The 9,740-nt window shown below is 40.7% G+C and overlaps 1 annotated feature.

Annotated features, from left to right (window-relative positions):
• Positions 8,969 to 9,152: a silencer, noted in NCBI's record as "fragment chr10:108038893-108039076 (GRCh37/hg19 assembly coordinates)". NCBI's record gives its function as "represses an EF-1alpha promoter that drives an FKBP-Casp9 reporter gene in an ReSE screen in K562 erythroleukemia cells {active_cell/tissue: K562}" and the evidence as "EXISTENCE:reporter gene assay evidence [ECO:0000049][PMID:32094911]".

Below are 9,740 nucleotides of genomic sequence, written 5' to 3' on the forward strand. Positions count from 1 at the left end.
GTCCAGGTCCCCTTCTCTCTACAGGACTTAAGGCAAATTAAGGGGAATCTTGGCAAATTTTCAGATGACCTTGACAGGTATATAGAGGCTTTCCAGAACTTAAACCAAGTATTTGAACTCTCCTGGAAAGATGTTATGTTACTTTTGAATCAAACTCTGATTAACAATGAGAAGCAGGATGATCTGCAAGTGGCAGAAAGATTTGGGGATGAGCTTTGTATCTCATATAGTATCAGGGAAGGAGATGAGCCTTATCCAATTGGAAGAGAAGCAGTACCAGTGGATGACCCTAAATGGGGTCCCAATAATGAAATGGGAGAATGGAAGGGGAAATATTTTCAGGTGCGCCTACTGGAGGGGCTTACACAGGCCTAGATCTAGGCCTCTCAACTACTCCAAACTATCTATGATAGACCAGGAATTTGATGGGAATCCCACTGCCTTCCTGGAAAAGCTAAGGGGGGCCTTGGTAAAACACATGTCTCTATCTCCTGATTCAGTCAAGGGACAATTAATTTATTACTCAGGGAGGCCCTGATATCAGGAGAAAGCTGCAGAAACAGGTCATGGGACAAGACAGTGCTTTACAGAACCTCCTGAAAGTGGCCATCTAGGACTTTTACAATAGAGATAGAGAGGAGGCCCAGGAGAGAGAGGAGACACAAGAAAAAGGCAGAGGCTTTAATGGCCTCGTTTCAGGCCCACAAGCTCCAGAATCCCTGGAATGCACCTACCAACTGCTACAAATGTGGCAAGCCATGGCATTTTAGTAAAGACTGTCCTGACAGCATGAGGGAGCCACCTCGACCCTGTCCAATCTGTAATGGGGACCACTGAAGGGCGGACTGTCCCTGGAGATGCAGGTCACCAAGTCCAGAGCCAGTCTCACAAATGGTCCAGCAAGACCAACAGGTTCCAGGGCTCCTCTCCCTGGCTCCAATGGTCCAGATGACCATTACCATACAGGAGCCTCCAGGTGATTCTGGTAATTGAAGGGAGGAAGGTGGACCTCCTCCTGGACACCAGAGTGGACCTTTCGGTTCTCTCCAACCAGGGTCCCCCATCCTCTCTTAGCACAACCATGAGGCACGTCTCAGGGAAGTTGTTAACCTGATATTTTTCCTAACCCCTTAGTTGTAGATGAGGAAACCTCTTTTTCACCCATGCCTTTCTAATGATGCCTGAAAGCCCAACTCCTTTGTTGACCAGGGATATTCTGGCCCGTATGGGGACCACATCCTGATGGCCCCAGGACAAACTATTTGTCTCCCCCTAGTGGAGACCAATATTAACACAGAAGTTTGGGCAATTCAAGGTAAAATTGGCCAAGCTATAACCCCCATACTGGTCCAGATCCCCCTTAAGGGTCCCAACCTCCTTTCCACCAGAGACAACATCCCCTGAAACCAGAAGTTGGGAAAGGACTAGAAGCCATCATTGATAACTTGAAGATGCAACGCCTGCTCAAACCCTACAATAGTCCTTGTAATACCCCGATATTGAGGGTACAAAAACCCAACAGGGAATGGAGACCAGTCCAGAACTTCTGCCTCGTTAATGAGGCTGTGGACCCAATTCACCCAGTGGTTCCCAATCTGTATACCCTGATAACTCAAATACCTGAGGGAACTAAATGGTTCACAGTCCTGGACATAAAGAATGCCTTTTTCTGCATACAATTACACACTGACTCCCGGTATTTGCATTTGAGGATCCCTCCAACCAGACCACCCAGCTAACCTGGACAGTGTTACCTCAGGGATTCTGCAACAGCCCCCACCTATTTGGGCAGGCATTGTCCAAAGACCTCTCTGAGTTCCTTTATCCTCAGGTTAAAGTTTCACAATTAGTAGATGACATTCTCCTCTGTGCCTCAACTGAGGAACTCTCTCAGGAGGTCAGTAAGGCTCTTCTTAATTTTCTAGCTAACAGAGAACACAAGGTTTCAAAATCTAAAGCTCAGCTCTGTCAGACTTCAGTGAAGTACCTAGGGCTGGTCTTGTCAGAGGAGACCAGGGCATTGGGTGAAGAAAGGATTAAGCCCATCTCTTCTTTCCCCTCCCCCAAACCCTTAAGCAACTGAGGGGATTCTTGGGCATTACAGGATTCTGCAGACTATGCATACCTGGGTACAGTGATATGGCTCATCCCTTATATCACCTAATAAAGGAGACTCAGGCATCTAAAACTCATTCCCTAACTTGGGAACCAGAGGCTAAAAAGGACTTTGACCAATTAATACAAGCCTTGCTCGAGGCACCAGCCCTTAGTCTTTCCATAGGGAAGACATTTAATCTTTATGTGTCAGAAAGAAAGGGAATGACCCTGGGAGTTCTAATCCAGGCCTGAGATCCAGCCCAGCAGCCTGTAGGCTAAGTAAGGAGCTTGATTTAGTAGCTAAAGGATGGCTGGCCTGCCTCCGGGCAATTGCAGTGGTAGTCTTGCTGGTACTAGAGGCTATTAAGTTAATCATGGAGAATAACTTAAGTGTTTATACCCCACATAATGTGGCAGGACTGCTGTCTTCTAAGGGGAGTCTCTGGCTAATGGATAACTGCTTCCACAGATATCAAGCTCTGCTATTACAGAGATCTGCAGGCCAATTAAGAACGTGTCCCTCCCTAAATCCAGCCACCTTCCTCCCAGAGTAAGCTGGGGAGCTTGAACATAACTGCAAACAGATAGTAGTACAAACCTATGCGGCCAGAGAGGACCTTAAGGAAACCCTCTTAGAGAACTCAGAGTGGATTCTCCTTACTGATGGAAGTTCTTTTGTAGAACAAGGGATCCATAAAGCAGGGTATACAATAGTTATGCTGAATGATATTGTGGAGAGCACATCTCTTTCCTTGAGTATAAGTGCTCAATTAGCCAAGCTAACTGCCCAAACAAGAGTGATCAAATTAAGCAAAGGGAAATAAGTTAATATTTACACTGATTCTAAGTATGCTTTCCTAGTCCTCTATACCCATGCCACTATCTGGAAAGAGAGGAACTTCCTCACAGCTAATGGGTCTCCCATTAAATACCATCAGGAAATTAATAGACTATTATCCTTGGTTTTCCTCCCACAGGAAGTGGCGGTAATACATTGTGAAGGCCACCAGAAGGGGGCTGATGAAATAGCCAAGGGAAATAGGTTGGCAGACCAAGCAGCTAAATCAGCAGTGAGAGGGCACCAGATTTCTAATCCACTTGAAGCCCTTCTAATCTGGGAGGGCTCCATAAGAGAAATAAAACCTCAATATTTCTCTCGCAGAAATAGAATCTCTTGGGGATACATCTTGCAGCCCTCAGGATGGTTACAGTTGGAGGATGGCAAGCTTCATCCACCAGCTACCAGCCAATGGAAATTTCTTAAAATCCTTCACCAGGATTTCCACTTTGGTAAGGATAAAACCTATCAATTGGCCTAGAGATTGTTCTCAGGTGAAAATCTGCCAGAAACAGTCAACAGGTTGTTAATGCTTGCAAGATTTGCCTTAAAAATAATCCCCTCAATGGATGGCTTCTTTCTCCCAGAACCCAAAGGACAAGGTGCTACCTGGGAGAAGACTGGCAAATGGATTTCACCCATATGCCAAAGACAAGAGGCATCCAGTACCTCCTAGTATGGGTAGATACCTTCACTAACTGGATAGAAGCATTTCTTTACATGTCAGTCAGAGAGAGCCTCTGAGGTGATAAAAGTATTAGTTAACAAGATAATTCCTCACTTTGGATTCCCCACGTACCTCCAGAGCAATAGTAGCCCCTTGTTCAAGGTGGCTGTGACCCAGAGAGTCTCAAAGGCACCAGGCACACAATACCATCTTCATTGTGCGTGGACACCACAATCCTCAGGAAAGGTAGAAAAGACAAATGATATTATCAAAAGGCACCTCAGGAAACTGTCTCAGGAGACTCATCTGCCCTGGACTACCCCTTCTTCCCATAACCCTATTACATTTTAGAAACACCCTTTCAAAGCTAGATTTAAGTCCCTTTGAAATGATGTATGAATGGCCTTTTCTCACCAATGATTTCTTGCTAGACCAAGAAACCTCTGATTCAATAAACATATAACTTCTTTGGCTCATTTCTAATAGGAACTGAAACAACTGTCAGAGGCCCATTCCCATGAACTAGGGCCACCTCTATTCAACCCAGGGGACCTAATGCTGGTAAAGGTACTTCTTTCCCTTTCTCCCTCTATAGGCCCAGATTGGGAGGGACCTTACACTGTACTAACTTCTTTCTACTGCTATGGCAGTAAAGTCCACTAGAATAGATTCTTGGATTCATTACACTCTAGTAAGGGACTGAGAAACTGAGAGAGCTGCCTCAGTCAACCCACAAGAGGACCCAAAGTTTCCTTTGAATGATTGACTTCCATGTTCACTATTACTTCCATGTGAATTATAACTTCCATGTTCATAAAAACTTTATCTAAATAATTAGAAAATGTTAACATTCAATTATCATAGGTTTCCTTTATCTAAATAATTTGCCAAAAACAGTTTTGGCAAAGCAGTACTAGTCCTTGCCAATCTTCTTATAAAACATACTGCATGCAGTGTGTGAATGCCAGGACCTGTGTACCTGAGTGTGCTCATGCAATTCAAACCTAGAACACACCTGTCCAGAGAAAGTTTTGTTGCTTGAAGGCCTACTTTTTTGAATTCTTTCTTTTTCACATAGTACACCCACTGGGTGACCAACTAATCATCTAGTTGTTTCATGTAATTCACTCATAGTTGCCAACACATGTAATGAAGCTATTCACATACGTATCTGTGTGCCATAGCTCAACCAACTCTTATCATAAATATAGGATACAGCTTAATGTAGGCAGCACTCATCTTCTCAACTTACGACCAGTTGTTACTCTGATTTATGTCTTAGTGACATATTTTATCACTCCTCCTCTACTATCATCATGTAACACTTATCTGTTACCCTCATAACTTGTCTCTTGGGCTCTTGCAACACTTGTTTAAACTACTCTGAATATCCCATCTCTTCAATGCACCCATCACACTGTTGCCATAGTAAGTTCATGGCACATTCTCTTTGTTATTTTTCTATTCAAAAAAGATTGACAGTGAGTCTCCACCGCTAACCAATGAAAATGTTCCGCCTGGCATTCAAGGCCATCTATTCTCATTCACAATATACTTCCCACTTGTATTTCCCCTCCTCTCTTACGTGGGCCAGACCTCTTACCGCAATCCTGGTATGTCTATGTTTGCTCACCTCTATGCTTTTGCTTCAGCTCTTGCCCTAACCTATTACCATTATATTCACTTGTCAAGGCTTCAGTCAAACGTCCTTGCTATCACAAAAATAAAGCTGTACCTGATCTCTTATTTCAAAATGATGACCTCCTACTCTGAAATCAGTGCATTCTGTGCCATTCCTAAGGCACTTCCCACATTTTTACATCCTCAAAATCTCTATAAGTTTCTTGCAATAGGAGACTATGCCATTTATCTTTGAACCCCTGACAAGTTAAAAATAGTTTACACATGTTTAGCGGCAGTAAATGGTAGTAGAATGAGTGGGTGATAGTCACCTCAATAAACTTTGAAGTCTTCTTTAAGAACTCCTATCCCATGGACTTTTCTTTTTGAATCTCCCAAAGTTCTCATAATAGCTCCTATATGACATGTGATTTTGCTGTGTTTCATATATGGTGAAGAGAAACCCACAGTAATTGAATGTTAACATTAGAAATTGGGCCCAATGCAATAAATGCCTGTTTTTTAGTTTCTTCTCCAATACTGTTGACCATCATTTATTTTACATAGTATCTACCTGTGGTTCTCTGAAAAATCAGACTGTCTCTGTCTTCTTAGCCTGTGTGCAATGCTGCTGCTTATTCCCAGGATGTCTTTTCTCTACCTGACCCTCACAATAGATTTCAAAACCCAGTTCCAACTTCTCCTCTACAAAATCCACTCTGACAATTTACTTCCATGTTCATTATTACTTTAATAATAAAATTGCATGTTTATTATTACTTCCATGTTCATTATTAGCCCTTCATTGTGGCTCTTAAAACATGGTATTATAAAACCATTATTTCATTGTCTTTGTTTCCCACCATACTGTGATTATTTTAGATTAAGAGACAGTTTTATTTCTCTATCTCTAATGTCAGCCCAGAAAAGTTTATATATATATTCCTCATTTTACAAAAGTGGAAAACAGGCTTGGGACATGTAGGCAATTTGCTCAGCTGTCAGCTTAATTAAGGTAGATGACTAGGATTTGAACATAGCTTTAATCTGACCCTGGATTCTGTCCTCCTAACCAGAGGAGGTTAACTGGTTAACTGTGCTCTATTCACAAAGACAAGTGGAACGATCTTAATTTTTGATCTCTAGGTTTTTGACCTCTTAATCTATTCCTGTATGATTTGGTTTTATATATATATAAAACCAAATCAAAACTAGTTAGTAACCAAGTGAGAAATCAAATTCAAGGGGAGAAAGACTGACTAGTCCCATTCTCAAAGCAAGTCTGTAAACCAAGGAGAGGGAAATGATTTAATTTGAACAATATGTTACATTTGTACTTGGACTAACTTGAACTGAACTTTTTTATAACCAAATGTGACCATAGGTTTGCAGAGGAAACCTATGCAACCTGCCCAAAATATTGAAAGAATGATTCTATAGAACATGACTAAGAGATACTATGGGAGTGAAATTGCCTGATATATGTCATTAAACTCATATCTTTCCAAAAACTCACAATATTAAGATACTATTATCAAATATGTTAAAAAAACTTACACATAATTTCTGAGAGCTATTAATCTGCCTATTTATAAATTACACAGGTAAGTCATTCTCAGGACACACTTAAGAGCCACTGTGGGGATCTTTTCCACAGATGCAAACACAGAATACCTTTTTGTCTTTCCTAATTCATAATTTAACTTGTTAAGGAGAACTAAATACATAATTGCTCCTTGAAAGTCTATGCTATGAATAATAATTTATAAAATCACTTGGTGGAAATGATACAGAATAGATTTCATAAAAGGTATTTTTAAACCATAAGTTCTTTTTTTGTGTGCTTTTTCAGCTCTGTGTAAAATGTTTGCAATAGCTCTACAAACCTTTAGATAGTCTTCTGTTTACAATATAAGTGGTTGCTATTCAGAAGGTCAAAAATACAGTGGCATTTGAGACTGCTTTGTACGAAGACCTTTTTGGATTTATGGGAGTGTTTTGCATTTATTTATTTATTGTTATGTTTCTTTCTCATGCCCTTTAAAAATATCTTTAGAATTCGAGCCAAAAGGCTATTGGTAAGTACAGGTCTGAGAGAGACTGGTGACGGCTATAACTTGGCTCTTCAAAAGAGTGAATAACAAACAGCCTTAATACTCTCTTTATCAGGTAATCATCCATCAGAAATAACACACAGAGCTTAGGAATTGGAGACCCAAATTTACAAATTGTGAATATTTTATAATAAATCTCCAGATGTGATTATTATTCTTAAGACCCAAATGCTTAGATGATTAATAAATAAATACAGAATATTTTACTTACTTGAACTTGGCTGTATTTTTTTTGAACTTCATAAATTATACAGGAATAGATTAAGGGGTCAAAAACCTAGAGATCAAAAATCAAGATTGTTCCACTTGTCTTTGTGAATAGAGTACAGTTAACCAGTTAACCTCCTCTGGTTAGGAGGACAGAATCCAGGGTGAGATTAAGGCTATGTTCAAGTCCTAGTCATCACCTTAATTAAGCTGAGAGCTGAGCAAACTGCCTAAATGTCCCAAGCCTGTTTTCCACTTTTGTAAAATGAGGATAATATCAGTATCTGACCCAGGGTGACCATAAAGACTATGATATAACCCATGTAAAGGGTTTAGCATAGTACCCAGAGTAAAATAGATTATCAACAGATGCCAACAACTGTTATCTTTCTGACACTAGGTCAATTTGAAGAAATTAGATGGAGCTGGTCAACTTGCCCAACTCCATCTAATTTCTCCCCAGAGTTGTGCCCCAGTTACATTAACAGCCAATATTGAAAATGAATATTACATGAAATAACGTATATTTTATTGTGGCTGTTTATCAGTTGTGGGTAACTCAGAAGTTGGAGTCCAATACCAGATTGAGAGAATGGTTAAGAAAAGGCAGCTACTTTATGAAGAGATCCTATTGTTTAGTATGCTCCTATGTGATTATTCAGAGAAATATACAAAAACCTAAATTTCTAAACCAGTGTTGCAATACAGTGCTTTCTGTAAGTAGCAAATTAGGAGACTGGCTGTCAGCCCACTTGTAACCTGGAGAAATGTATGAAAAATCTGCCTGTTATTGGGGATGGGTAGTCCTGATTCAGAGCGTGGGGAAATACTAAAAGTAAGTATTACTGGTAAGGGACTGACTCCCTCTGCTGGGTACTACTTGGTTCTTGTTTTATGGCTCTAGTATTTAAATGGTGAAGCTTTCCTTGTGCTATTAGCCTCCCTCTGTGTGGGATTGATATGGTTTGGCTCTGTGTCCCCACCAACTTCATATTGAATTGTAGTTCCTAATGTTGGGGGAGGACCTGGTGGGAGGTGATTGGATCATGGAGGCAAACTTTCCCCTTGCTCTTCTTGTGATATTGAGTGAGTTTTCAGGAGATCTGGTTGTTTAAAAGTGTGTAGCACTTCCCCCTTCACTCTCTCTTCTGCCACCATGTAAGGATGTACCTGCTTCCCCTTCACCCTTCAACCGTGACTGTATGTTTCCTGAGGCCTCTCCAGCCATGCCTAACTGCGAATCAATTAAACCTCTTTTCTTCATAAATTACCGAGTCTCAGGTAGTTCTTTATAGCAATGTGAGAATGGACTAATACAGGGATGTAAAGTAAGTTACATCTGAAGAAAAATATTACTCCTGTGTACACATGTCTCTCCACATGGAAGACAGGAACTTAGAGGTCTGGATGATTTCAGCCTGGTCTCTTTACTACTGGAGAACACTGAATGGGTCCTGACATGGCAAGACCCCATCACTCGGGTGGGAAATAATCTCCCTCATGGAGATCTGACAAGCTGAGAAAGTGGAACCCCGGGGCAATATCGGAGACTTTGGCAAACATTTGGTAGCAGAACTCTAACATGTTCATGGGGTGATGGAGGGCAGGGGGATTTGTGTTAAGCCTTATCACACAGATCCTCCTCAAATTCAGACTTCTGGTCTTAGCTTCACAAGAGATTATAAATACATCCATTAGAAACTTATAAAAAGTACCAATTTCTAATAGAAATGTTAAGTGGAAAATGTAAAGTGTCAATATATGTGAAGTAGATTTTTCACACAATTTCACAATTAGTGCAACCATTTTTTATTTGATAGTGGAATGAGAAAAAGTGAAAGGTGTGTACCATGGTCTCTCTTGACTCTGAGAGACTGTGATTGTAGGATCAGCAGATATTCTTTAGAAACTTGTTTCAGTTCTGTTTGTATTTTCTGTTAGTGTTTTTCTCAGCAGTTAATAAAATTCTTTAGAAGACATTTATGCAGCCAAAAAACACACGAAAAAATGCTCACCATCACTGGCCATCAGAGCAATGCAAATCAAAACCACAATGAGATACCATCTCACACCAGTTAGAATGGCAATCATTAAAAAGTCAGGAAACAACAGCTGCTGGAGAGGATGTGGAGAAATAGGAACACTTTTACACTGTTGGTGGGACAGTAAACTAGCTCAACCATTGTGGAAGTCAGTG

Source organism: Homo sapiens, chromosome 10, assembly GCF_000001405.40.
Source record: "Homo sapiens chromosome 10, GRCh38.p14 Primary Assembly".
NCBI lineage: Eukaryota > Metazoa > Chordata > Mammalia > Primates > Hominidae > Homo > Homo sapiens.